The sequence below is a fragment of the Homo sapiens genome, chromosome 6 (genome assembly GCF_000001405.40).
Source record: "Homo sapiens chromosome 6, GRCh38.p14 Primary Assembly".
Classification (NCBI taxonomy): Eukaryota; Metazoa; Chordata; class Mammalia; order Primates; family Hominidae; genus Homo; species Homo sapiens.
In genome coordinates, this window is record NC_000006.12 from 33,668,063 (window position 1) to 33,694,096 (window position 26,034).

Here is a 26,034-nt window from a genome sequence, read left to right on the forward strand (position 1 = left end):
GGTAACTGCCACCCTGAATAGCACTGGGTGGCTCAGCACTGGGAGGCCCTAGCCTCCCTAGCCCTTCTCTGGGATCCCCTAAAATTTGGCCCACTCTGGCAACAATGGGAATGACTCCTTGTACCACTAGAGGCCCCCAAGACCTTCTCCAGTGACAAAGTCAGAACCTGTATTGAACCAGTTGTTAAATATTTTGAATATCACCTCGGCCCTTGCGCTTCCTCACCCTGTCCGTCTGAACCCCCATCTAGCCTTCCCGGACCCCAGGGTGATGCCCTGGGGCTTTCCCTCCTTGGGGAGCTGGGAGTCCATCCCACCCATCTCTAAGCCTTGGGAGGGAGCTAGTTCCAGGGTGGCGGTGCTGCCAGCTGGGGAAGGGGAAGGGTGGGCTCTGTCCTTAGAGGGACCAGCCTCTGAGACCCTCTTCCCACCGCTGGCTGTCACCACCCCAGGTTCCTGGACTACCTCTCTGACCTGTGTGTGTCCAACCACATCGCCATCCCCGTCACCCAAGAGCTCATCTGCAAGTGTGTGCTGGACCCCAAGAACAGTGACATTCTCATCCGGACCGAGTGAGCCCTGTGCCCCCTGCCCGCACTTGGGCTCCACGCTGCTGACCCCCAGCTGTCTTAGAGCTTAGGCCCTGTCTGGGTTCAGGCTGGAACTGGCACCCTTGCTCTCTGCAGCTGTGAACTCTGTGCCTGTTATGTGCCCCGCTGTGTGCCTGGCACTGTGGGGGAGTGGGGAAGGGGCACAGAAAAGAATGAGCCACGGACCCTGCCCTTGAGATGCATATGGTCTCTCTGGGTCCCCGTGGTGGCTGGCACTGTGTGGCCGGGTGTGCTCAGGGAGGGGTCCAGGCGTAGTGCCCTGGACCTGGCTCCCTGTGACAGGTTGCTGGTGGTCTGCAGGCTTCGGCCCGTGAAGGAGATGGCCCAATCCCACGAGTACCTGAGCATCGAGTACTCAGAAGAGGAAGTGTGGCTCACGTGGACTGACAAGAATAACGAGCATCATGAGAAGAGTGTGAGGCAGCTGGCCCAGGAGGCGCGGGCCGGCAACGCCCACGACGAGAATGTGCTCAGCTACTACAGGTGCCCCGCCCCAGCTCCTCCCCTCCCTCTTCCTGTGCCTTTGGGCCTTCTCAGTAGGCCGTCAGTCAATCCCTGCTGAGGATGAGCTCTGACAGCCTCAGGTGGGGCTCCTGCCTCCTCAGAAGCGGAGTCCCTGCTGTCACTCCCCTGCCACGAAGCCTCATTCCAGGAAGGCTGAGTGAAGAGGACTGTGTGCCCCGAATAGCACTGGGTGGCTCGGCACAGGAACCAGGCTTCAAAGAAACCCAGACTGTTTTCAAACATGTATATTATTAAAATAATCTCACCAAATTAGCTAGCCATGGTGGTGCACACCTGTAGTCCCAGCTACTTGGCAGGCTGAGGCATGGGAATCGCTTGAACCTGGGAGGCGGAAGTTGCAGTGAGCCAAGATCGCACTACTGCACTCCAGCCTGGGTTACAGAGAAAGACTCTGTCTCAAAAAAACAAATCATCATCATAATAATCTCTTTAGACGCCCTTCTTACAATGCTTGCCACGTAGTGGGCACTTTTTTAAGCACTTGTCCTGATCCTTCATTTGAGCCACATGACAACCCTTGTTGTAGCTACTATAGTTACTCCTGTTGTAAAGCTGGGGAAACAGTGGCAGAGAGAGGTAAAGGAACTTGCCCAAGGTTACACAGCCATCAGTAGAGAGCCAGGGCCCACACCCAGGCTATCTGGCTCCAGAGCCCCCAGGAAGTCATGTCTGTGAGGAGGAGGCAGAGGGCCTGGTATTGCCAGGGCAGCACAGAGCTTCCCACGTTCCTCATTTTGGTATCCCCTCTATCAAGGTTGCACCCCTTTCACCACCTCCCCACCTCCCCCTCCTCCCTCTCCCATCTTGCCCTCACCCTCCCTGGCCAAGGCTGGCTCTTCTCATCTCACTGCCCTCCCCTGTCTCCCACCCTTTCCCTCATCTTTCAGACGTCCCTCTTCCCATGAAGACCTGTCCTGGCTGAGCCTTAGCCAGGAGGGGGAGAATTGCAAGTACTGGTTATCACAGACAGGTTTTCCGTTCACCTTTCTAACTCAGAATTGCAGCTGGCGCATCTTTAACCTAATCCCTTTGCCACTTTACTGAGTCCTCACCAAGTCTAGTGCCCAGTGCCAGCAGCCTCCCGGCTGCCATCTGCCGTGTCCTCACAGTCCTCCCTGTCCTGCAGGTACCAGCTGAAGCTCTTTGCCCGCATGTGCTTGGACCGCCAGTACTTGGCCATCGACGAGATCTCCCAGCAGCTGGGCGTGGACCTGATTTTCCTGTGCATGGCAGACGAGATGCTGCCCTTTGACCTGCGCGCCTCCTTCTGCCACCTGATGCTGCACGTGCACGTGGACCGTGACCCCCAGGAGCTGGTCACGCCGGTCAAGTTTGCCCGTCTCTGGACTGAGATCCCCACAGCCATCACCATCAAGGAGTGAGAGGGGTGGAGGCAGGGTGGGCGGGGCAGGGGCAGAGGCTGGAGTGGGTGTATCTCGGGGACCTTCATGCCTCATGGCCTCCACCCTCAGCTATGATTCCAACCTCAACGCGTCCCGAGATGACAAGAAGAACAAGTTTGCCAACACCATGGAGTTCGTGGAGGACTACCTCAACAATGTAGTCAGCGAGGCCGTGCCCTTTGCCAACGAGGAGAAGAACAAGCTCACTTTTGAGGTGGCTGGGGGAGTGCCCAGGGGCTGGGGGTCCGTGGAGCTCTTGTTGGCCCCACACTGGCCTCGGTCTTCACCCAGGAGTCGGCTGTGGGATCCATGACCCCACTTCCTTCTGTGTCCCCAGCCAGTGCAGGGGGACCGCATAGAAGGCTGGGATTCTCCAAGAGGCAGGCTCCTGTTCCAATGCCTGGGAAAGGGCTGCCTCTCCCTGCTCCGCTCTCCCTCCTGGGAACCCCGTCCTCATGACGCCCCTTTCGCCCTAGTTTCCCCAGTCCTGGCCTGCCCTCCACGAAGCCCCGCCCCTACGCGCCGGCCCCTCCCACCTCACCTCGGCCACGCCCCCTTCGCAGGTGGTCAGCCTGGCGCACAATCTCATCTACTTCGGCTTCTACAGCTTCAGCGAGCTGCTGCGGCTCACTCGCACACTGCTGGGCATCATCGACTGTGTGCAGGGGCCCCCGGCCATGCTGCAGGCCTATGAGGACCCCGGTGGTGAGGCCTTTGCCCGGCTCGGGCCACCCTGGTGGTCCTCAGCCTCCTCCTAGCACAGGAAGTTCCCTCAGATCAACACCTTCCCCAGCCCCGCATTCCCCCCACCCAACCTGGCTCTGCCTCAAGGGGATATCTTGGGCCCAAGCCCCTCCCACCTCAGCAGGACCAGAGGGGTCCCTGCCCGGACTCCCTGGAGACCCCGGGTCTGTGGGAGTTGCCTTCCAACCCTGCTTGGTCTTGAGGGGAGATAGTGAGGGAGGAGCGAGACAGCTCTGTCATCGTGTGTGTGAGGAGGAGGGAGGCACAGCCTGTCTGAGGGTTGAGCGGCAGCCCTGCCCTCCCAGACACTCCCAGGCTGCATAAAGTCATCTAAACAAAAGGTGCCTAGAGCCTGGCACTGGTTTTCGGGGCTGTCCTCCCCGCAGTGTCCTCTCAGCCCCCAGGCTGTGTAGCTGCTCTCATGGTTTCCTACAGAAAATTCTCAGTCATCTCCCCACACAGCTCACCTTTGCCCTGACACCTCCTTCTTTTCCCAGATTTGCTTAAAGCTCATGTCCTCCAGGAAGCCTTCCTGGGTTAGCCCTGTCCCTTCCTTAGCAAGGCTTTGCCCTGCAGCTGACATAAACAGATTATGCATCCTCTGCCTCCCTCATCAGACCAGGGACCCCTGTGTACAGCCTCTACAACCTCCTTGGCAACCTCCTCTGCTTCCCCCTCCACAGGCAAGAATGTGCGGCGGTCCATCCAGGGCGTGGGGCACATGATGTCCACCATGGTGCTGAGCCGCAAGCAGTCCGTCTTCAGTGCCCCCAGCCTGTCTGCTGGGGCCAGTGCTGCTGAGCCGCTGGACAGAAGCAAGTTTGAGGAGAATGAGGACATTGTGGTGATGGAGACCAAGCTGAAGATCCTGGAAATCCTTCAGGTGCCTGGGCCAGGACCGTGTGGGAGGTGTTGGGTATAGGGGGAGGGTAATGGGGCGGGTACAGGGAGGCTGGGCAGGGCGAACCCCTTCAGATCTCAGTATTTAGTACTGGAAGTCTCCATCGTGACTGGCTGTCAGGCCCAGCGGTTCCCACAGTGTGGTTCTTGGGCCAGCCTCACCTGGGAGCTTGTTAGAAGTGCACATTCTCGGTTGTGCGCAGTGACTCACGCCTGTAATCCCAGTGCTTTGGGAGGCCAAGGTGGGAGGACTGCTTGAGCTCAGAGTTCAAGACCTGCCTGGGTGAGACCCCGTCTCTATTAAAAAAAATAGTAATAACGATAAATAAATAAAAAGAAAAACAGAAATGCACATTCTCCGGCCCCACCCTAGACCTACTGAGTCAGGAACACTGGAGAGGGGCCCTGTGGGCTGTGTTGTGACAAACCCTCCAGGTGATTCTGAGGTGCACTGAAGTCTAGTTCAATTCTCCCATTTTACAGATGGGGAAAGTAAAAGCGGGGAGGTAAAAGCGGGGGCCGGGGGGTGCTTTCCCAAGGTCACAGGGATTTTGAAGCAGAGCTAGAGATTTAAGAACCTATTTCTTGGCAAGGTGGATGCAGTCATCCCTGTTGTGGTCTCATCTGAGACTCCCCAGCCACACCCCAGGAAGGGGCTCATCCCCGAGGAGGGATGAGGATGCTTGCTTTTGCCTTGCTGTCACCGGAGGGCAGGAAGGGTAGTGCAGTGACCTCCGTGGGGGACCTCTGGCGGTCAGAGTGGAGGGAGCTTCTGACTCATTCTGAGGGCTGGGCCTTCCATGTCTGCATCCTGGGGCTTGGCCAAAGGCTCAGTGCCCCATGAGACTGTGTGACTCACCCATGTCTGCAAGCCCTGCATCCTCACGTCTGCCCCACAGTAGCCTCTCCTCCTCCCTCACAGGCCTCAGTTTCCCCTCCCATGAGTATCCAGGGTCTGTTTGGCTGAGCAGGATAGGAGGACAAGAGTCAGTTTTTGGACCTGGGGGCTTCATTCCCCTTCCTGTCAGTGTCTAGCTTGGGAAAGAGGGACTGAGTGGGCCGGGCGCAGGGGTGCTCGCTGCCTCATGCTGAGAGGAGGCCCTCATACTCCATCACTGGGGCAGGAGCTGGGGAGAGGGCACCCTGGGCCTGGGGAGAGGGGTCTTGTTTTCTTGCTGTGACATCCTGGAGCATCCCAAATGACTGTGCTGAGGACCCTGCTGCCCCAAGTGCTAGAGCCTATTTGGGGGCTCCCTGCCCCCTGCCCCCCATAAAGTAGGAAGGGCCTTCTGACCTCAGATCAGTCCTCACCCCATCCTCACCTGACCTTTCCTCTCTTCTCCAGTTCATCCTCAATGTCCGCCTGGATTACCGCATATCCTACCTGCTGTCTGTCTTCAAGAAGGAGTTTGTGGAGGTGTTTCCCATGCAGGACAGTGGGGCTGATGGCACAGCCCCTGCCTTCGACTCTACCAGTAAGCCCCTGCCCTGCCTTCAGGCTGAGGCTGTGCGACTCTCCCAGGGATACACAGCAGTGGGGTGGAGCCAGCTCCTCAGCCCTGCTCCTTTTTCTAGTCTGCAAAGGCCTTTTCTTTCCACTGTCTCATTTAATTGCCTCAGTGAGGGGGAAGGGCAGGGATCCTTCCCTTCGTTTTCCAAATGGGGAAACTGAGGCTCACAGAACAGCAGGGACTTGCTCGAGGTGACAGCCAGTCAGAGGCTGAGCCAGACCGGGATCTGGTCTCCTGACTCCCAGCCTGGATCTCTGCCCCCTTTGTACTGCCCTGCAGGGGAGTAGGGGGCTGTGGCTCCTCCCCTACTTGGTTCCTTCCCAGAAAGGGGCAGGCAGAGCAGCTGCTGTGCAGCCAGTGCAGGGAAGAGGGTGGTTTGAGTGTCTCCCTGTGCTCCCCTCTTTCCCGGGCTGGGCCTACAATCTGCTTCCATCTGCCCCTCTCCCCACAGCTGCCAACATGAACCTGGATCGCATCGGGGAGCAGGCGGAGGCCATGTTTGGAGTGGGGTGAGGCCAGGGTTGAGCTGCAGGGGTGTGTGGGGTTGGGAGGCTCGACACCCCCTCTTGGTCTGGTCTGGGTTCCTGGGCTGGGGGCTGGCTCTTCCTCTCTGCCATTCCCTCTGCAGACCCTCACCGGGCTTTGTGCTCAGCCCCTCCCCTGCCTCCCCAGTCCCAGAGATCTGGGGGGCCCTTTGGTTCCCAGTCATCCCGTCATTCTTCCACCCCTACTCAGGGCAGGTGTGCCTCTCTTGTGCAGTGGACTTGAGTCAGGTAGCTGGACAGCTGGAACAACGTCCCCAGTCCCACAGCAGGGCGGAAGTGTGGGGACATGCATCCCATCCACCCGAAGCCCTGAGGGGCTGGAGGCAGAGGCTCACTGGGGGCTTTTAGCATCTTGGGGCCAGGCTTGTGCCTGGGTCTAGCAGGGCTTATGGACTGCTTTTCAGAATGGTGATTGTAAACTCATAAAATAAAGCACATAACAAGACAAAGGGAACCAGTGGCTTGGAGCGAGTTATCAAAATATTGGAGAAAACAAATTAGTAGTGACAGTTATGTATGTGCCTCTTTACTAATACGTAAAGTAGCGAGCTGCACTGGTGGGTGTAATTAGTACCACTACTTCAAGGCAGCGACGAATATAAACGATATTTTGTGATTTAACAACTCTGAGGTGATGTGAAAACATCTGTTATATTTATTGGTGACAGACTTACAGGTGCCACAAATATTTCCTCACTGAAGGAAATGCTGTATTTTGGTTAGAGGTTGGGAAAAATAAAGATGTAACATTTTCTCCATCTCTGTTCATGGGCCCCGCTTCTATCCATGAATCCCCCGCATGGTGGCAGTGGGATCTGTGTTAAGAGTCCTTGTTTCTGGCTAGGTGTGGTCGCTCATGCTTGTAATCCCAGCACTTTGGGAGGCCGAGGTGGGCAGATCACTTGAGGTCAGGAGTTCGAGACCAGCCTGGCCAACATGGTGAAACCCTGTCTCTACTAAAAATACAAAAATTAGCCGGGTGTGTTGGCACACACTGGTAATTCCAGCTACTCAGGAGGCTGAAGCAGGAGAATCATTTGAATCCGGGAGGTGGAGGTTGCAGTGAGCCAAGATCATGCCACTGGCTGCATTCCATCCTGGGTGACAGAGCAAGACTCTGTCTCAAAAAAAAAAAAAAAGAGTCCTTGCTTCAGTTGCTTAATCAAGGGGAGTCCCGAGAGATCCCAGGAGACACGGGTCACTCCGGAGATTCAGGGGAGTGGCTGTTAAACTGCTGAGAAAGTGTCAATATTTTAAACACATTTAGACTGGCCCTGCATCTGCTAATTGGGTGGCGGAGAGTGTGCTTGTGCCAGGGCCCCTTACCCACCACGGACAGCAGGGAGTGTGCCAGTCTCACCCATGCGCCCTGCACCCTTGTGCCCGCAGGAAGACAAGCAGCATGCTGGAGGTGGATGACGAGGGCGGCCGCATGTTCCTGCGCGTGCTCATCCACCTCACCATGCACGACTATGCGCCGCTGGTCTCGGGTGCCCTGCAGCTGCTCTTCAAGCACTTCAGCCAGCGCCAGGAGGCCATGCACACCTTCAAGCAGGTGACGGGACTACCTGGCCCTGGCCCTGAGCATGAGGCCTGCACCAGGCACGGGGGGACAGTAAACGATGATTGAGGAGCTCACAGCTCAAGGGGTAACTTGGGATGCCCATTTGGGGTTTTCAGCCTTGCTGAGTTCCTAGGTGAAGACTGAGTCTCCTGGCCTGGCTCAGTGCCTGCCATTTCTTATGATGTGGACAGCACTTTACAGCTTGCAAACTATTATATGCACCTATGCTAAATGCTTTGAATCATGCCTAGCATGCAGACAACCCTCACTGACGTGACTGGCATTTGCTATTGTGATGTCACGCAGTCCCGACAGCTCCCTGTGAAATATCAATACCAGTCGGCGTTGGCCTTTAAAAAAATAAGTGCCTGCCATGTACCAGGCACTGAGTACTGGACTTGCATTATCGCATGGCATTCTCACAGCAGCCCTGACAGTGAGGTTACTACTCTCCCTCCCATTCCAGAGCGGGGAGAAATCCAGGCCCAGGGAGCTTTCCTCCATTGCCCACAGACCCAGAGCGAGGATGGTGGCAGTCAGACGCAGGCCTGGGTCTTTCAGGGTTCAGGGCTGCCAATATGTTTTGCCCTGCCTGTTTGGGGTCTCAGTGGATAAGTGACAGACCACAGCCACATGTGACACTAGTCAGTGAGTAACTGAAGCCAGGTTATGTGGCAGCTCAGGGCAGGCAGTGCAGGGAGGCCTGTGGCCAGCAGGGAAGGCTTCCTGGAGGTGGTGGGCTTATGGCAGAGCCAGAAACATTGAGTGGGAATCGGCTCGGTGGAGAGGGACAGGTGGTGGTCTACAGGAGGGGAACCCTAGAGTAAGGAAGGTGCTGGAGGTCTCTAAGTGGCATGGACCTGGAGCCCATCTCACCAGCCAGGCCCATCCTCCACCTTCAGGTTCAGCTGCTGATCTCAGCGCAGGACGTGGAGAACTACAAGGTGATCAAGTCGGAGCTGGACCGGCTGCGGACCATGGTGGAGAAGTCAGAGCTGTGGGTGGACAAGAAGGGCAGTGGCAAGGGTGAGGAGGTGGAGGCAGGCGCCGCCAAGGACAAGAAAGAGGTAAGTGGGGCTCCAGGGGGCCAGGGCAGGCCTCCCTGTGAGGGCTGGGCCTGGCTGATCTCCTTCCTCTCTCTGCTTTCAGCGTCCCACGGACGAGGAGGGCTTTCTGCACCCACCAGGGGAGAAAAGCAGTGAGAACTACCAGATCGTCAAGGGCGTGAGTGGCCAAGGGTCCTCGGGGTAGGGATCTGCAGCCCCAGTGGTCCTGGGGGCTCCCGCTGGCCCGGCCCCCTGTGCCTCTCCCTGTGCTGGCCACTGGCCCTCACAAGAGACATCTTTCAGCCTTTGCTGCACATTAAAAACAGCCCTGCCAAGGTCCAGATGGAATTATTTTAAAGCCGAAGGAATTCCATGAAATTCCATTTCACAGTCATATTGTTCTATTTACTTTTATGGGTGGAATTGGTTTTTTTAGTGCTTCCCTAGCCTGTTGCAAGGGTCTGATTCAGCGCCTGTGACCTCCTTCCCCCTTCCTGTCCCGGGTGCCAGCTGGAACTTGGCTGTGGTGGGCTGGGCAGAGGGCAGCCTGAGAAGTAGGGAAGGGGCTCTGGCTCACCCGCCTCCCCTGCAGATCCTGGAAAGGCTGAACAAGATGTGCGGGGTTGGGGAGCAAATGAGGAAGAAGCAGCAACGGCTGCTGAAGAACATGGATGCCCACAAGGTCATGCTGGACCTGCTGCAGATCCCCTATGACAAGGTGGCTCTGACTTCTGACCTCTGACTCCCCAGGGTGGCTTCCCCCTGAACCCCGGCCTGACCTGTATGCTAGGCCCTAATGCAGGCAACCTCTCCCAGCCTCGCCTGGCCTCTTACACTGCCCTGTTTGTTTGCAGGCACACCTTGACCCCTGAACCCTGTCTTAGTATCGGTTCAACCTTTGACCCTCTACCCCTCATCCTAATTCCCTTTGACCTTGATTTGACCCCAGCCTTATGCTGATTCTTGACCTTGACTCCCTTTTCTTCCCCCTCTCCAGCCTAACCCTGATAATCTCAGCTTCATCTCAACCTTTGACCCTCAGCTTCCTTACCTTGACCCATGTTGACCCTAACTGAACCCAACCTCTCCTTGACCCATGACATCAATGCTGGCCTTGTCCTGACCCCTGGTTTTGATTCCTCATCCTGACATCTTATGCTGACCTGTCCCCAGGCCCACCCTGGCTCCTGACTCCAATCTTAGTCTCATCTCCCCTTTTGACCCTCAGCCCCTTGCCATGACTGATCTTGATCTCAGTATGTCCCAGGCCTCACCTTGACGCTGACCGTGACACTTCACCTTGCCCCAACTCCAGCCTCATCTTGGCCATTGAGCTCCCGCCCCTCACACATTTCCATCCTGACCTGGGGGCCCCACTTTCCCTTTACGCTGGCCTCTTCACGGTCCCAGTCCCAAGCCCGACCCACCCCTGCTCCTGTCAGAGCTCAGCCAGGGCCTCGCCTCCCTCCTTGGTGGGCCCAGCACCCTCTCCCTGACTCCTGTGTCCAGGGTGATGCCAAGATGATGGAGATCCTGCGCTACACGCACCAGTTCCTGCAGAAGTTCTGTGCAGGGAACCCCGGCAACCAGGCCCTGCTGCACAAACACCTGCACCTCTTCCTCACGCCAGGGGTGAGGGTGCAGGGCTGGGAGCACCTGGACGAGGCGGGGGATGGGGGGTGGGGGCGGGGCCCAGATCTCTTTCTGACAGATGCCCCCCACTGCAGCTCCTGGAGGCAGAGACCATGCAGCACATCTTCCTGAACAACTATCAGCTCTGCTCCGAGATCAGCGAGCCTGTGTTGCAGCACTTCGTGCACCTGCTGGCCACGCACGGGCGCCATGTGCAGTACCTGGACTTCCTGCACACCGTCATTAAGGCCGAGGGCAAGTACGTCAAGAAGTGCCAGGACATGATCATGACTGAGGTGAGGGCGGGGCTGAGGGGTGCTCAGGCATCTTGGGGTGGGGGACCGGAGCAGAGGCTTGGCGGGAAGGCCACAGAGTTAGAGAAGTCAGACGGTGGGTCACAAAAGGAACACTCAGCTGCTGACCATGGAGGGGACGCAGAGGGAGAAGTGAGGCTGCAGATGTGGTAGAACTCAGCCTGTGGGCCTGATAGAACTCAAGCAGGGTCCCAGTAGCATCAGGCACCTAGCAGAACTCAGACAACAGGCCAGAAAGAAATCAAGCATGCATTCCTTGTCACTTGTCGTCGTTTATTTAAAATCAGGAAGCACCTGCTACGTGCCACGGACTGTACATGCATGGGGGACATCAGCTGAGTGTCAGCTCCTGGGGGGCACGGGCAGGGACCCCATCCTTTGTGTGCATCGCCAGGGCCCCAGTGTGTGGCGCATAGTAGGTTCTCAACAGACACCTGTTGAGTGAAGGCACGAAGGATACAGGGCTGAGTCTAAATCTGGAACAGACGTGGTCCCTGCCCCTGAGCATCTGACAGTGTAGGCGGCAGGGGGAGAAAGAAGCAAACACTGAAGGGAGATTAGGACATCATAAACAAGACATGATGTGCTGGAACTGCTGTACAGTGTTAGTTTTATTAATTTCTATTATTATATTACTGCGAATAATGCAGTCGCTGGCACGAGAGGTGTGTGCTCAGTGAGGAGGGTTTAAGTAACTGCTGCGGGAGCACAGGGGAGGGAGGGGGTGAGCAAGGCGGGATTAGCGAGGCTTCCTGGAGGAAGCTGCCTCTGAGATGACCCCTATGGGACTTCTTTCCAGTGGGGAGAAGCGGGGACTTTCTGGGTCATGGGGTCAATATCTCTGCTGGCAGAGGGCCTGAGACATCAGCTGGGGAACCCCCAAATCCCAGCCAGGGGAGGGTTTTCCTGATTTCAGGTAAGGGCTGTGGTCAGAGTCCCAGTTTCTCCCTGGTAAGCAACGGAGAGGAGAGCCCAGGGCTTGCTGGACCGAGAGAGTGTGACACGTGCCCCCTCCCACCCGCAGCTGACCAATGCAGGTGACGATGTGGTCGTGTTCTACAATGATAAGGCATCGCTGGCCCACCTGCTGGACATGATGAAGGCCGCCCGCGACGGCGTGGAGGACCACAGCCCCCTCATGTACCACATTTCCCTGGTGGACCTGCTGGCCGCCTGTGCCGAGGGCAAAAACGTCTACACTGAGATCAAGTGCACCTCCCTGCTGCCGCTGGAGGACGTGGTGTCTGTGGTGACGCATGAGGACTGCATCACTGAGGTGGGGATCGGGAGACTGGGCAAGACGGCTGGAGATGGGGCGAAGGGGTGGGTAAAGCCACGGGACAGGAAGAGTGGGTGAAGCAAAGCCAGGGAAGTGGGCAGGAACCGGAGGCCAGGGGACAGGAGCATTGTGGCAGGGAGAGCCTGGCCAGGCGGCCCTGCTTGCGCCCCTGACCTCCCGCCCACTGCCCAGGTGAAAATGGCCTATGTGAACTTCGTGAACCACTGCTACGTGGACACGGAGGTGGAGATGAAGGAGATCTACACCAGCAACCACATCTGGACGCTCTTTGAGAACTTCACCCTGGACATGGCCCGGGTCTGTCCCTGTGAGGGGTGTGGGTGAAGCCCCCCAGGAGGTGTGGGAGTGGAGGGGCCCCATGTGAGGAGCCCCCAGCCATCCCTCTCTCCTGCCTCAGGTCTGCAGCAAGCGTGAGAAGCGCGTGGCTGACCCCACCTTGGAGAAGTACGTGCTGAGCGTTGTGCTGGACACCATCAACGCCTTCTTCAGCTCCCCATTCTCTGAGAACAGCACTTCCCTGCAGGTGAGCTTCTCCTCTCCCACCACCCCAGGGCCGACTTGCCTAGCTTTTGTGAAGGGAAGGGGGGAAATAAGAATACATATTTATATTTGCTTATAGTACAGAAAGAAGTAACAAAAGGATACATAAGTGTATTGGTTATCTTTTTTTTTTTTTTTTTTGAGATGGAGTTTCACTCTGTCGCCCAGGCTGGAGTGCAGTGGCGCGATCTCTGCTTACTGCAAGCTCTGCCTCCTGGGTTCACGCCATTCTCCTGCCTCAGCCTCCCGAGTAGCTGGGACTACAGGTGCCCGCCACCACGCCCAGCTAATTTTTGCATTTTTAGTAGAGACAGGGTTTCACCGTGTTAGCCAGGATGGTCTCAATCTCCTGACCTCATGATCCGCCCACCTCGGCTTCCCAAAGTGCTGGGATTACAGGTGTGAACCACCGCGCCCGGCCTAAGTATATTAGTTATCTATACCGTGTTAACAAATTATCCCCAAACCTAGCAGTTAAAACAACAAGCATTCGCTATCTCAGTTTCTGTGGGCCAGAATGACGGTGGGAATGGTACCATCCAGCAGGAACTCCTAACTCCAGTGGGTGGGCGGATCCCGGAGTGGCAGCACTTATTCACCAAAGATAAGGCAGACGTGCCATCCATGGGATGGTACAGCCAAAGCAGGGATCACGACAGTCTCCCTGGCAGGATCCTTCGTGCTGGCTAGTTGATCATAGTGATCTTAGAACTGAAATAGGCAGGCAGCCTTCTGAAGGCCTAAGCAGAAGGGCTCCAGGCCAGTGTACAGAAGCCTGATTTGAATCTCGAAAGATTCATGGCTCCTTGGTCAATCCCCAGATTCCCAGACTCGAGCCAGTGCTCAGCCCAGAGCCCCCCTGAATGAAAGCGAGCCAGGTTCCCTTAAGGAAGGGCCCTGCTACATGACCGAAATCAAAGAAACACTGGAAGGATACAAAAGAAACCCACAAAAGGGGCTACCTAGGGGCATAGGAGCTGGGGTGGGGTGGGATCGTGCTTCTAAGTCTGGGGGGAAAAATGCTGAGTCCTGCCTTCTCAGGAAGGGTGGTGTATTTTGACACACATTGTTTGGGCCCTGGGATCGCATTGGGACGATGGAACTCTGGTAATTGATATCAGCTTTCCCCATCCTTGATCAGCTCCAGGGCAATGAGGGTGATGGGGGAGAGACTTCTCAAAGTGTTATGTTTTTTTTTTTTGAGACGGAGTCTCACTTGGTGCCCCAGGCTAGAGTGCAGTAGCACAACCTTGGCTCACTTGCAACCCCTGCCTCCCAGGTTCAAGCAATTCTCCAGCCTCAGCCTCCTGAGTAGCTGGGATTATAGGCACCCGCCACCACGCCCGGCTAATTTTTGTATTTTTAGTAGAGACAGGGTTTCACCATGTTGGCCAGGCTGGTCTCGAACTCCTGACCGCAAGTCATCCACCCACCTTGGCCTCCCAAAGTGCTGACATTACACGTGTGAGCCACTGCGCCCAGCCTCAAAGTGTTATCTTTTAAATAACCTTTTGGTTTTTCAACCATGTAAATCCATCACCTTTTTATGACATTAATTTTTTTAAACATTTTTTAAAAGGGTCAGCAACATGGCTATGAGCCCACGGCCTTGGTGAGTTACAGGGCTGCCGTGTACAGTTGGGCAGGTCGTGCACTGCTGAAGGGAATACAAGTACCTTTTTCCAACTGGCACAGAGGCACATGGTGGCTAGTGAAGGCTCCGTCTCTCCACCCATGCCCATTCTGATTGGGCCCTGGTTCCTGGACCTGGGGTTGCCCAGGGTGGGGGCCTGGGCTGCAGCAGCGGGCTCTGTGACTTCTTGCAGACACACCAGACGATTGTGGTGCAGCTGCTGCAGTCTACCACACGCCTCCTCGAGTGTCCGTGGCTACAGCAGCAGCACAAGGGCTCCGTGGAGGCCTGCATCCGGACCCTCGCCATGGTGGGTGAGTGTGCCGGGGCACTGGCCAGCCCCAAACCACTCCTCCTGCCGCTCACAGTGGGGACGCCTGCCCTCCTAATAAACACTTTATCCCTAAGCTCGCCCATCTCCTGCTCCCAGGTGGTTGTCAGTAAGTTCTTCTTGGCGTCTGCCTCATCCTGGCAATTGAGAGAAGCTGTTTTCTCCTCTGGGTCAGTTCCCCAGAGAAGGATGCTCGCCGACATTCTCCAGCTAGTTTTTTATGGGTATTTGCAGATGGGCTCAGGCAGGAGCAGGCCTGTGGATTGTTAGGGACAGTTGGGGAAGAAGAGAGGACAGGTGAGAGAGAGGAAGGGGAAGTCAGGGTAGAGCCGGGGGGAATCAAAGAGGCAGAAACTCCTTTTACCCAACAAGGGGAAGAAAGCCTCTCAGTCCCTCAAGCATAGGCCGGGGTGGGGGGGGTCTCTGTCTCCCAGACCCTTGGTCTAGTTCACTCTGTCTCCTGGTGTGGCAGCCCTGAGCCTGGCCTCTGGCTGGCTGAACTGCCCCCGCACCAGCACTCCAGCACTCCCTCCCTTCCCACCCAGCCAAGGGCCGGGCCATCTTGCTGCCCATGGACCTGGATGCCCACATCAGCTCGATGCTCAGCAGTGGAGCCAGCTGTGCAGCTGCCGCCCAGCGGAACGCCTCCAGCTACAAGGCAACCACGCGGGCCTTCCCCCGCGTCACCCCCACCGCCAACCAGTGGGACTACAAGAACATCATTGAGAAGCTGCAGGTGGGTGTGGGGCTGCCTGGCATCTGCCTCGGGAGCTGCTTGGTTGAGTCAGCAGCTCCCCTACTTTGGAGGGGCAAGTTCTCGGGGAGTGTTTCTTCCTGTCCTGCCCACACTTCCAGGAAGGGGCTGGTTGGCTTCTCTACACTCTGGGGCTGCTAAGGGCCGACCCAGCAGCAAGGGACTGGGGAACCTCCTTCCAGAGGAAGCCTGGAGAACCCAGAGGCCTGCTAGTGGGGTTGGAGCTCATGAGGGGGTCGGGACCACCCCTCACTCCTGCAGCGCCCTCCTGTCTATGCAGCACATTTCTGTGCGCTGTCTCGTTGGCCTGTAGAGGGGGTGTGGTGGATTATTTTCCCCACGTGGCAGGAGACTGAGGCTCAGAGAGGCTAAGGGGTTTGCCCAAGGTCACACAGAGCTGGGAGAGAAGCCAGGCTTGGCAGCTCCCAGCCAGGGCTCTGAGCAGACAGACATCACGCTGTGTTCAGGGTGTCTCTGTGGGTGTGGGCCCCTCAGACAGAGGCAGGGCAATCTGTGGGGCTGTTTGGCGTTTGGGTCGGAGGAATGGCAGTCACACCCGGGTCATTTCTTGGGCCTGGCAATGACTCTGCCCTGCCCACCCCAGGACATCATCACAGCCCTGGAGGAGCGGCTGAAGCCCCTGGTACAGGCTGAGCTGTCCGTGCTGGTGGATGTCCTGCACTGGCCTGAGCTGCTCTTCCTGGAGGGCAGTGAGGCCTACCAGCGCTGCGAGAGTGGGGGCTTCCTGTCCAAGTGAGCGAGACACTGGGGCATGGGGGCAGCAGGGGTGCAGCGGCAGGGGACAGAGAAGGGCCCGGTGGGGACTAGACAGGCTCACTGGGTCAGAGGGCCTGGGGGTGTTCCTGCCTGGGATGGGGTGGGGAAGTAGCTGGAGGGAGGCAGTGTGGGGCTGCCCTGAGCTGCCTCCTTGGCCGGCTCAGGCTGATCCAGCACACCAAGGACCTCATGGAGTCGGAGGAGAAGCTGTGCATCAAGGTGCTGCGGACCCTGCAGCAGATGCTGCTCAAGAAGACCAAGTACGGGGACCGGGTGAGTGCCCTGGTGGGGCAAGTGCTGGGTGGGCCAGTCAGGAGTACCCAGGGGCTCAGGGTCAAGCCCGTCAGGCCAGTGGTCAGTGGTGGGCTGTACCCACAATGGGGCCTCACTCCCATCCTCCCCCAGGGCAACCAGCTGCGCAAGATGCTGCTGCAAAACTACCTCCAGAACCGGAAGTCCACCTCGCGGGGGGACCTTCCCGACCCCATAGGCACTGGTCAGTATCACCTTCCCCTGCCCCCGGGCCCTCCCTTCCACTCTCCTGTCACACCAGCTCTCCCTCAACCGAGTCCCGCCTCCAGGCCTGGACCCAGACTGGTCGGCAATCGCAGCCACCCAGTGCCGGCTGGACAAGGAGGGGGCCACCAAGTTGGTATGCGACCTCATCACCAGCACCAAGAACGAGAAGATCTTCCAGGAGAGCATCGGCCTGGCCATCCACCTGCTGGATGGTGGCAACACAGAGATCCAGGTGTGGGGGGCCTGGGGCCTGGACATGCCCTCCTTTGCCTCCCTCCCTTTTTGGAGGAGGTGGGCCTTGAGTTGGGCACTGAAGGCCGAGGAGGGTGTGAAAGAGGAGAGGCCTGAGCAGTGGCTGAGAGGTGAGAAGAGTGGGCATGATGGGGGCAGGGTGGTGAGGAGACGGGCTCAGGCCTGGCTGGGGCAGAGGGGTATGCGGGGGTGATGAAAGGACCACGTGACACAGGAGCAGATATGGGGCATGGAGCCGCCCATGGGTGGCCATGGATGCTAGCCACCAGCACCCAGGCCTGCAGCCAGGCCCCTGCAGCCCCAGCGGCCCCAGCAGTGTGGTGTGCCTGCCCCACGCCCTGAGTAGGAGCAGGGCCCAGTGCTGAGGTTGTTCCCTGGCCACTGTCCACCTCCAGAAATCCTTCCACAACCTGATGATGAGTGACAAGAAGTCAGAGCGCTTCTTCAAGGTGCTGCACGACCGCATGAAGCGGGCCCAGCAGGAGACCAAGTCCACGGTGGCAGTCAACATGAATGACCTGGGCAGCCAGCCACATGAGGACCGCGAGCCAGTCGACCCCACCACCAAAGGTCAGGGGTCTGAGGCAGAGGCACGGCGTGACGGGGATCCCAGGATAAGATGTGCAGGGGGGTGGCCAAGGGGGTGGGCAGCTCCAGCCTCACCAGGTCTCGCCCACAGGCCGCGTGGCCTCCTTCTCGATACCTGGCTCCTCATCCCGCTACTCGCTGGGCCCCAGCCTGCGCCGGGGGCACGAGGTGAGCGAACGTGTGCAGAGCAGTGAGATGGGCACATCCGTGCTCATCATGCAGCCCATCCTGCGCTTTCTGCAGCTGCTGTGTGAGAACCACAACCGGGACCTGCAGGTGAGTGCCTCGCCACACACCTGCCCCTTCCCCCGCTGGCCAGCCGGCATGCAGACTAGGCAGTGTGGCTGGTGTCCCTCTATGGCAGGTGTGCCCTGCCCTGGGCACTGCTGCTTTGTGGCTGGTGGTTCCCCTACCCCTGCAGCACACAAGATCGTGCTTCCCAGGCCAGCCTCCCTCTCCGTGCTGTAGCTGTGCTGTGCCCAACCCTTCTGTGCCCCGCAGAACTTCCTGCGCTGTCAGAACAACAAAACCAACTACAACTTGGTATGCGAGACGCTGCAGTTCCTGGACATCATGTGCGGCAGCACCACGGGCGGCCTGGGGCTGCTGGGGCTCTACATCAATGAGGACAACGTGGGCCTCGTCATCCAGACCTTGGAGACCCTCACTGAGTACTGCCAGGGCCCCTGCCATGAGAACCAGGTGAGCTGTCCTGGTGGCATAAGTGGCAGCCAGGGTGGCAGTGTGGACATGTGGGTAGATGGAGCCAGCTGGGGCAGGGAGAGAGGCTGAGGTCTCTGGAGCTGCCACTATTCTGAGAGGGCCTGGGCCCTGTGTCCCCCACTGCCTCCTGCCAGACTTGCATTGTGACTCACGAGTCCAATGGCATAGACATCATCACCGCACTGATCCTCAATGACATCAGCCCCCTGTGCAAGTACCGCATGGATCTGGTGCTGCAGCTCAAGGTGGGGCCCAGTGGCAGGTGTGTGAGTGCTGGGTGTGCATGTGATGTGCATGCATGTATGTGTGACTTGTGTGTCAAGTGTACATAGTGGTGTGTAATGTGGGTGTTAGCATTGTGTGATGGGGCATCATCTGGATGCACAAGTGTGTGGTGTGTGCAGGGTGTGTGTGTAATATACGCATGTTTAAGCATGCTGGAACATACACTCACTCTGGATGCAAATATATTCTGGTTTAGCTGAGGACTTGCTATGTGTGTGTCTGCTGTCTGGGTAGCTGAGTGTTTGCCACAGCGGGGGTGAAGGCAAGCCTATGGGTGGGCTGGCTGTGCAGGATGCTTCTCATTAAGCCGGGGGGAGGGAGGATGGGAAGGTCATGGCACCTGACCTTTTGTTGGATGGGAGAGCTGTTATGGAGAGGAATGAGGGAGAAGTTGTCAGGGGCATGGTGTCCTGAGACTGTGGCCTGCCTCCCTCTGCCCCTCCACCCAGGACAATGCCTCCAAGCTGCTCCTGGCTCTGATGGAGAGCCGGCATGACAGTGAAAATGCTGAGCGAATCCTCATCAGCCTGCGGCCCCAGGAGCTGGTGAGGCTGGGCAGGTGGGCAGGCGGGCGGAACCAGGTGGAGTGTGTTGGGATGGGGATGAGGGCCCGGCTGGCCCTACCGCCCTAGGAAGAGAGCATTGGAACAGGCACTGCCCCTCCAGGTGGACGTCATCAAGAAGGCCTACCTGCAGGAGGAAGAGCGTGAGAACTCGGAGGTGAGCCCACGTGAAGTGGGCCATAACATCTATATCCTGGCGCTGCAGGTACCAGTTCCACCCGTGGCAACGGCCATCACCCCCCTGGCCACCATACCCCGCCCCAGCTGCCATCATCCCCCAGTCGCCATTGTCGCCCCCCAGCCACCATGTCCCCCAGCCACCACACCCTGGTGACTGTGCTGCCATTTCCCTCAGCTCTCCAGGCACAATAAACAGCTGCAGCACCTGCTGAAGCCGGTGAAGCGCATTCAAGAGGAGGAGGCCGAGGGTATCTCTTCCATGGTGGGTGCTGGCCCCGAGACTGGGGTGGGGGTGGGGCCTGGAACCCAGGGAGGACACTTGACCCAAGGGCGTGGCCTGGAACAGAGTGAGGCCCTAGAATATGAGCCAGGCTAGAATTTGGGGGTACAGCTCAGGGGGCTGATTGGGACTGGCAGCCGTGGGTGAAACCCAGACAGAAATGGAAGCAAGGCTCAGGTGGGTCTAGGGTGGGTCTGGAAGCTTCAAGCAGGACCCGGGCTACACTTGGGCAGGACTGAGGAGGCCCCCGCTATCCTCTGGGATTCTCTGGTCATGGCTCTCCCACTCCCCTCCCTTTGGCACCAGGTTCTCAAGGCTCAGTCCTAGTTGGGCTGGGCTTGGCCTGCTCTGGCTTGGCGGGGACACTCGCTGAAGTGTAGTTCAGAGCTAGGCGAAGGCCTGGGAGGGTGGGGGCTGAGTGCCAGCCTGGATGTGGAGGCTGGGGCCTGACCTCCGCGCCCTCCCCACCTCCAGCTCAGCCTCAACAACAAGCAGCTGTCACAGATGCTCAAGTCCTCAGCGCCAGCACAGGAGGAGGAGGAAGACCCCCTGGCCTACTATGAGAACCACACGTCCCAGATCGAGGTGGGCCTGTGGGCAGCAGGGGCGGGCGTGGGAGCCTGCGCCGGGCGTGACCATGTGCTGTGTGTGCTCAGATTGTGCGGCAGGACCGCAGCATGGAGCAGATCGTGTTCCCAGTGCCCGGCATCTGCCAGTTCCTGACGGAGGAAACCAAGCACCGGCTCTTCACCACTACTGAGCAGGACGAGCAGGGCAGCAAAGTGAGCGACTTCTTCGACCAGTCCTCCTTCCTGCACAACGAGATGGAGTGGCAGCGCAAGCTCCGCAGTGAGGACCCACGGGCGGGAGGGTGGGGCGGTCTGGAGCTGTTCACTGATGCCCTGTTATAACGGCCTCCTTTGCCTGCCTGTGGGTGCCCTGCGCCCAACCCCGCCTCACCCCAAGGAAGGGCTCTTCCATGTGTGGCTTCCTCCTGAGCGGGGCCCCACATGCAAGGGGCAGGGGGTGCTCACCAGGGCCCTCCAGCAGCTCACCGTTGCCCTCCTCTTCAGGCATGCCGCTGATCTACTGGTTCTCCCGCCGCATGACCCTGTGGGGCAGCATCTCCTTCAACCTGGCCGTGTTTATCAACATCATCATTGCCTTCTTCTACCCTTACATGGAGGGCGCGTCCACAGGTGAGAACACAGGGCTGGCCGGCAGGTTCCCCGGGCCCTGCCATGCTTCCTCCCTGGGTTGGGGCAGAGCCTTGAGGCCAGCTGGCCTCTGAGGGCACCAGATGCAGAGTGTGCAGAAGCACCCCCTGCGCCATCCTGTGGGCTCTCGCCCCATCATGGAGACACAGGTGCGGTCAAAGGGGATGGTCAGGGTCTTTGACCTCATGGGAGATGGCGCATGCAGGCACGTGCACACGCATAGATGTGTCAGCCAGAAACAAAACCTGGTAGCCGCAGCCGGACAGGGCCTCCCGCTTAGGCCTGAGAGGCAGGTGTAATGGAGGAGGCTAAAACCAGGCACCAGGAACTTAACCGGGAAGGCGGCCAGGAGAAGGTGGCTTTTCGGCACCTGTTGGACCTGCTCTGGGGCCGTGGTGGGCTTGAGGGAGCCCTGCTCACCCTGCCCCTGGCCCCCAGGCGTGCTGGACTCCCCTCTCATCTCATTGCTCTTCTGGATCCTCATCTGCTTCTCCATCGCGGCCCTGTTCACCAAGCGCTACAGCATCCGCCCCCTCATCGTGGCGCTCATCCTGCGCTCCATCTACTATCTGGGCATCGGGCCCACACTCAACATCCTGGGTGCCCTCAATGTGAGTGCCAGAGGGAGCCCCCATTCCCAAACAAGCTCATGCTCACTGTGCATTCAGACGGCAAGCTGGCCTGCTGCTTCCAGGAGCCACTGCTCTGTCCCATCCCCTCCTCTCTGTTGGGCTCCCAAGTTCCTTATAGACCGGTGGCAGGGACTGTTCTGTACCTTCTTCCTTTCCCTCAACACCTGAGGGCAGCTGGCACTCAGAGACAGAAATTCAAGAGTCCCTTTGGAGCAACAGGGTCAGGGTGGCTGTGCACACTGTGCGGGCTGTGCACTGCCCAGAGGCACTGCTACGCGGCAGACGTGAAGATTCATACATAATGACAATCTCCTGACAGATGGAAATAAAGTGCTTTGAGCGAGGAATACCTTTCCCTGATAGAGCCAGTCAGTGGTCTTCTCTGTCCCCATCCTCCGTTGCCTGTACCTCACTGTCTTCCTGGAACTGAGGACCCAAGGGGCTGCCTCTGTATTCTGAGTCCCAGGCGCCTAGATGCGTTTCTGGAAGCAATTTCATTAATGCCATGCCTCCCAGGCTCTGAGCTGGGCACTGGGGGACATGCGTGCAGATTCAGCATAGGTGGTAGGGTGCTGACTCTCATGCCTTGCACTCGCCCCCAGCTGACCAACAAGATCGTGTTTGTGGTGAGCTTCGTGGGCAACCGTGGCACCTTCATCCGGGGCTATAAGGCCATGGTCATGGACATGGAATTCCTCTACCACGTGGGCTACATCCTGACCAGTGTCCTGGGCCTCTTTGCTCATGAGCTGTTCTACAGCATCCTGGTGAGGCCTTCTGGGTGGGCTGGGGCTGGATGGGGGCATGGGGTGGTTGGGGCTTCCCATGAGTTGTTGGCAGTTCCCCGGCACCAGTCTGTCTGTCCAGTCCTTTTGCTGCTGGGCTGGGAGCAGTGAAATTACAGAGTCTTCATCTGCCTGACCCAAGCCTGGCCCTCAAGGCCCTGATGGCCACTCCTGGTGGCCATCTGACCCCTTTCTCCTGTACAGTGGTGGTTCAAGCCTGGACTCTGGAGCTGGACCAGGGCTTTGCATCTCAGCTGGGCTACTACTAGCTGTGTAACTGGGCAAGTTTCTTAACTGCCCCATGCCTCAGTTTCCTCACCTGTAAAATGGGGATAACAACAGCCCCTGCATTCTAAAATAATTGTGAGATGAAATGAGCTAATGCATGGAAAGCACTTACACTGTTTCCTGGCATGCAGCAAGTACATTTTAAGAGTTGGCTGGTATTCAGCCACCCGTTTCACCCCTCGTGCCTTCCCCTGGGCCACTCCCTTTCTGTGACCTTAGAATTCCAGGTTTCTCGAGAAGCTCCCCTGACAGGCCCACCCAGCTTGGATACGACTAAGTGCAGACCTCCCTGGAGGAGCCTTGGGAAACTGTCTGGAGCCCAGGCAGCCCTCAGGGTTCCAGTGGCAGCCCCAGTGAGAGTGGCCGGCCCAGCCCCTCAAGGTGCCATCCCTATCTCAACCCCATCCTGCAGCTCTTTGACCTCATCTACCGCGAGGAGACGCTGTTCAACGTCATCAAGAGTGTGACCCGCAATGGCCGCTCCATCCTGCTGACAGCCCTGCTGGCCCTCATCCTGGTCTACCTCTTCTCCATCGTCGGCTTCCTCTTCCTCAAGGATGACTTCATTCTCGAGGTCGACCGGCTGCCCAACAACCACTCCACAGGTCTTGGAGGCTTCCTCTCCTGGGCAGGTTGTGGGGAATGAGGTTGGGTCTCACAAATGTCTGGCGTCAGGACCAGGACCTGCAGCGCTTACCTCACCAGGCTCCCGTCTGCTTCTCCTCTTGGCTTCTGGGGACGTCTAGCTAACACCAGTCTGCCTCGCTCTTTTCTGGAACACACTGAGTGGGTGGGAGAGCCTTGGGTCTCTGGCCCCTAAGGAACCCCTTGCTTGAGGGCTGGAGTCCCTTGAACTGTCATTCATGTTAAACCCAGTATTTGCAGAAACTGCCCGTGTGCCAGGCCTAGGGGTACAGAGACCCCTCCCTGCCCTTAGTGTGCAACCCAGTCGGGGGCAGAAGCGTGATGACCCTTCACTGTGGCTGGACAGTGGAGGGCTGGCGATCCAGGACCAGGGAAGGTTTCCTGGAGGATGTGACACTGGGGACAGAGCCAGGGGATAAGGCCAGGCACTGGACCTCCTGATGATCTCATCCATATCCCCTCCAGCCAGCCCCCTGGGGATGCCACATGGAGCTGCTGCATTTGTGGACACCTGCAGTGGGGACAAGATGGACTGTGTCTCAGGGCTCTCGGTGCCTGAGGTCCTGGAAGGTGAGGGTGGTGTGTGTGCAGGAGTCTGTGTGGGGTAGGAGGAGCAGGCAGCCCGGGCCTCAGCACACTCTCCGCTTGCAGAGGACAGGGAGCTGGACAGCACAGAGCGGGCCTGTGACACTCTGTTGATGTGCATCGTCACTGTCATGAACCATGGGCTACGCAACGGTGGTGGCGTGGGCGACATTCTCCGCAAGCCCTCCAAAGATGTGAGCACTCCTGCCCACTCCCAAACCTGTGGGGCCCAAGCCACTGTCCAGATCAGCAACTGTGGAGAGTCCTGTCCTTGGCCTCGCGTCAGATATTCAGGGTTGAACCCCCTCCCCCGAACTTGTATCCACTTTTCCCTGCTTTCCACACCTGGCCAATTCCATGATATTACTGCTTAGCTGCCCCCTCACCCTCCCATTCCATAAGGAAAGACTTTGGCAACCAAACTTTGCCCCAGGGCTAGGGATGGTGACCACTGGCTTTCCTAGCCCACAGCAGGTGGGCAGAGGGCGGAGCTGAGTCAGCTTTATCAGGAGGCCTCATGATTTGGCTTGGGCAGCCACATTCCCGAATGTCAGGCCTTCCCCTGTTGCTTGGGAGTGAGAGGCCGCCTCCCTGGCCAGACAGAGGGTTTCTGGAATGTGTGAGGCCAGGCGTCCTGAGGGTGGGCAGAGGTGTTCAGAGCTGCCTCTTTCCCTCATCAATGTTAGGGGCAGAGACACACCGAGACTCGTAGCCCTACCTCCCCGCCAGACTCCTTCTGCAGGCCTCCACCCCGGCGTGTCCTGAGTCCACGCTTTCCTAACCCAAACTCAGGGCTTCTGCTTGCAATTCTTGCTCTGTGGAGCCAGGTTGGGTCCACTCTGCCATCTGATGGCCCCCAGGCCAGAGGCCCTCATTTCCTTCTGCTAGGGGCTGGGTCCTCAATATCACAGCCCTGGCCCCAACCTGAGTCCTATCTTGCCCCAGTGAATGTGGGGACCACCGGGCCCAGCCTCCCTGCCTCATCCCCTGCAGGAGTCTCTCTTCCCAGCCCGAGTGGTCTATGACCTCCTGTTCTTCTTCATCGTCATCATCATTGTGCTGAACCTCATCTTTGGGGTAATCATCGACACCTTCGCTGACCTGCGTAGTGAGAAGCAGAAGAAGGAGGAGATTCTTAAGACGACATGCTTCATCTGTGGTGAGGGCTGCTTCCTGCTCTGTGGAGGCCGCAGCGGGGCTGGAACGTCATCTGATGCCAGTGGCAGTAGCGGTTTGGCCCTTCCTGCCCTGGGGAACCCTGGCCCGGAGCTGATGACTTGATGCATTTGCTCATCCCAGAACTGGGGAGAACATGACCCTGCCTGAACTTGGAGTCAGAAAGGAGTGGGACAGGCCCATCCCTGTAAACCCTTGGGGTTTCTAGGTGAGGACATGAGCCCAGTCAGTGTCTGGAGCTTCTGGTCTCAGTCCAGTGCTTTTCCTACCCCTGAAATGAAGTGCTAGTCCCCTCACCAGCCACCTCGGGCTCAGGCAGGTGTCACCTGTATGGCCTGTAGGACCTCGCTCATTCAGCCATTCGGGCTTCCCCTGAGTTCGAGAAATTCTCGCGTTTACTCCTGGAGTCCTCGGTTGCTGCTGCGGGAGGGCTGCAGCTGCGGCAGGGCAGGATCTCCACTAAGTGGCTGCTGCTTTAAATAGAAGTGACCCAAATAGCCCAGAGCGAGCTGTTGGAAGCGCTCATCCCGAGAACAAATGCCTCCAACCCCCGGAAGCTGGGTCCCCTCCAGCAGGTGACCCTGCAGTGGCTCTTGAAGGCTGATGGTTTCATTCCCGCCCTCTGCACCCTCAGGTCTGGAGAGGGACAAGTTTGATAACAAGACAGTGTCATTTGAGGAACACATCAAGCTGGAGCACAACATGTGGAACTACTTGTACTTCATTGTGCTGGTCCGCGTGAAGAACAAGACCGACTACACGGGCCCTGAGAGCTACGTGGCCCAGATGATCAAGGTGTGAGCAGGGGCTGTGCCAGGCCTGTGGGCCCAAACCAGCCATTCTAGAGTCATCACTGTGCACCAGAGGCCTCATGGTTTTAGCTTCTGAGTACCCTGGGCCCTGGAGAGGAGTGGCCCTATCTGACTGTTGGCCCTAGGAGGCCAGGCAGAGGGGCTCGGACAGCTGCAGACACTTGTTGAAAGGTCAGCAGGGCGAGGAGCAGCAGCTGGAAGCAGCTCTGGGCTGCACGGAAGCCGCTGCTGCAGAGGGGCCTCCTCACACTTCTGGGTGTCAGGAAAAATCCCACAGCAAACCCATGCGCCCCGAAGAACACGTGTGGTATCCCTGGGCCTGTCGTGCAGTGATGCTGAGGAGGGGTGGAGTTGGGGAGACCCTGCCCGTGGCC

General features: G+C 58.1%; 1 protein-coding gene across 7 annotated transcripts in view, besides 9 other annotated features; it reads left to right on the top strand.

The window, feature by feature from the left end:
• ITPR3 (inositol 1,4,5-trisphosphate receptor type 3) overlaps positions 1–26,034 on the top strand; it is a 75,241-nt gene that overhangs the window by 46,741 nt on the left and 2,466 nt on the right. For 6 of the 7 annotated variants that reach the window (NM_002224.4, XM_047418731.1, XM_047418732.1 and 3 more), the window contains 40 exons: positions 453–572; positions 912–1,094; positions 2,263–2,514; positions 2,609–2,753; positions 3,103–3,244; positions 3,967–4,166; positions 5,529–5,658; positions 6,146–6,203; positions 7,629–7,794; positions 8,706–8,870; positions 8,953–9,027; positions 9,442–9,567; positions 10,359–10,481; positions 10,577–10,777; positions 11,820–12,071; positions 12,267–12,392; positions 12,493–12,618; positions 14,462–14,582; positions 15,145–15,335; positions 15,958–16,106; positions 16,295–16,403; positions 16,536–16,626; positions 16,712–16,881; positions 17,297–17,471; positions 17,581–17,765; positions 17,991–18,191; positions 18,347–18,457; positions 18,947–19,042; positions 19,164–19,265; positions 19,416–19,502; positions 19,995–20,105; positions 20,177–20,369; positions 20,594–20,719; positions 21,176–21,348; positions 21,972–22,136; positions 22,855–23,047; positions 23,553–23,657; positions 23,739–23,866; positions 24,666–24,831; positions 25,483–25,643. In NM_002224.4, coding sequence (NP_002215.2) covers positions 453–572; positions 912–1,094; positions 2,263–2,514; positions 2,609–2,753; positions 3,103–3,244; positions 3,967–4,166; positions 5,529–5,658; positions 6,146–6,203; positions 7,629–7,794; positions 8,706–8,870; positions 8,953–9,027; positions 9,442–9,567; positions 10,359–10,481; positions 10,577–10,777; positions 11,820–12,071; positions 12,267–12,392; positions 12,493–12,618; positions 14,462–14,582; positions 15,145–15,335; positions 15,958–16,106; positions 16,295–16,403; positions 16,536–16,626; positions 16,712–16,881; positions 17,297–17,471; positions 17,581–17,765; positions 17,991–18,191; positions 18,347–18,457; positions 18,947–19,042; positions 19,164–19,265; positions 19,416–19,502; positions 19,995–20,105; positions 20,177–20,369; positions 20,594–20,719; positions 21,176–21,348; positions 21,972–22,136; positions 22,855–23,047; positions 23,553–23,657; positions 23,739–23,866; positions 24,666–24,831; positions 25,483–25,643 — 5,899 coding nt within the window. Of the gene's footprint in view, positions 1–452; positions 573–911; positions 1,095–2,262; positions 2,515–2,608; positions 2,754–3,102; positions 3,245–3,966; positions 4,167–5,528; positions 5,659–6,145; positions 6,204–7,628; positions 7,795–8,705; positions 8,871–8,952; positions 9,028–9,441; positions 9,568–10,358; positions 10,482–10,576; positions 10,778–11,819; positions 12,072–12,266; positions 12,393–12,492; positions 12,619–14,461; positions 14,583–15,144; positions 15,336–15,957; positions 16,107–16,294; positions 16,404–16,535; positions 16,627–16,711; positions 16,882–17,296; positions 17,472–17,580; positions 17,766–17,990; positions 18,192–18,346; positions 18,458–18,946; positions 19,043–19,163; positions 19,266–19,415; positions 19,503–19,994; positions 20,106–20,176; positions 20,370–20,593; positions 20,720–21,175; positions 21,349–21,971; positions 22,137–22,854; positions 23,048–23,552; positions 23,658–23,738; positions 23,867–24,665; positions 24,832–25,482; positions 25,644–26,034 lie in introns of those variants that run through there. The other variant, XM_017010832.2, reaches the window with a different exon arrangement.
• Positions 206–837: an enhancer, noted in NCBI's record as "H3K4me1 hESC enhancer chr6:33636045-33636676 (GRCh37/hg19 assembly coordinates)". NCBI's record gives its function as "activates a minimal SCP1, AML or CMV promoter by ChIP-STARR-seq in naive H9 embryonic stem cells {active_cell/tissue: H9 hESC(naive)}" and the evidence as "EXISTENCE:reporter gene assay evidence [ECO:0000049][PMID:30033119]".
• Positions 838–1,468: an enhancer, noted in NCBI's record as "H3K4me1 hESC enhancer chr6:33636677-33637307 (GRCh37/hg19 assembly coordinates)". NCBI's record gives its function as "activates a minimal SCP1, AML or CMV promoter by ChIP-STARR-seq in naive H9 embryonic stem cells {active_cell/tissue: H9 hESC(naive)}" and the evidence as "EXISTENCE:reporter gene assay evidence [ECO:0000049][PMID:30033119]".
• Positions 1,017–1,203: a silencer, noted in NCBI's record as "fragment chr6:33636856-33637042 (GRCh37/hg19 assembly coordinates)". NCBI's record gives its function as "represses an EF-1alpha promoter that drives an FKBP-Casp9 reporter gene in an ReSE screen in HepG2 liver carcinoma cells {active_cell/tissue: HepG2}" and the evidence as "EXISTENCE:reporter gene assay evidence [ECO:0000049][PMID:32094911]".
• Positions 5,174–5,695: an enhancer, noted in NCBI's record as "H3K4me1 hESC enhancer chr6:33641013-33641534 (GRCh37/hg19 assembly coordinates)". NCBI's record gives its function as "activates a minimal SCP1, AML or CMV promoter by ChIP-STARR-seq in primed H9 embryonic stem cells {active_cell/tissue: H9 hESC(primed)}" and the evidence as "EXISTENCE:reporter gene assay evidence [ECO:0000049][PMID:30033119]".
• Positions 22,654–23,631: an enhancer, noted in NCBI's record as "H3K4me1 hESC enhancer chr6:33658493-33659470 (GRCh37/hg19 assembly coordinates)". NCBI's record gives its function as "activates a minimal SCP1, AML or CMV promoter by ChIP-STARR-seq in naive H9 embryonic stem cells {active_cell/tissue: H9 hESC(naive)}" and the evidence as "EXISTENCE:reporter gene assay evidence [ECO:0000049][PMID:30033119]".
• Positions 23,632–24,607: an enhancer, noted in NCBI's record as "H3K27ac-H3K4me1 hESC enhancer chr6:33659471-33660446 (GRCh37/hg19 assembly coordinates)". NCBI's record gives its function as "activates a minimal SCP1, AML or CMV promoter by ChIP-STARR-seq in naive H9 embryonic stem cells {active_cell/tissue: H9 hESC(naive)}" and the evidence as "EXISTENCE:reporter gene assay evidence [ECO:0000049][PMID:30033119]".
• Positions 24,602–24,771: an enhancer, noted in NCBI's record as "active region_24367". NCBI's record gives its function as "activates an Ori minimal core promoter by ATAC-STARR-seq in GM12878 lymphoblastoid cells {active_cell/tissue: GM12878}" and the evidence as "EXISTENCE:reporter gene assay evidence [ECO:0000049][PMID:35858748]".
• Positions 24,602–25,585: a biological region, named in NCBI's record as "H3K27ac-H3K4me1 hESC enhancer GRCh37_chr6:33660447-33661424".
• Positions 24,608–25,585: an enhancer, noted in NCBI's record as "H3K27ac-H3K4me1 hESC enhancer chr6:33660447-33661424 (GRCh37/hg19 assembly coordinates)". NCBI's record gives its function as "activates a minimal SCP1, AML or CMV promoter by ChIP-STARR-seq in primed H9 embryonic stem cells {active_cell/tissue: H9 hESC(primed)}" and the evidence as "EXISTENCE:reporter gene assay evidence [ECO:0000049][PMID:30033119]".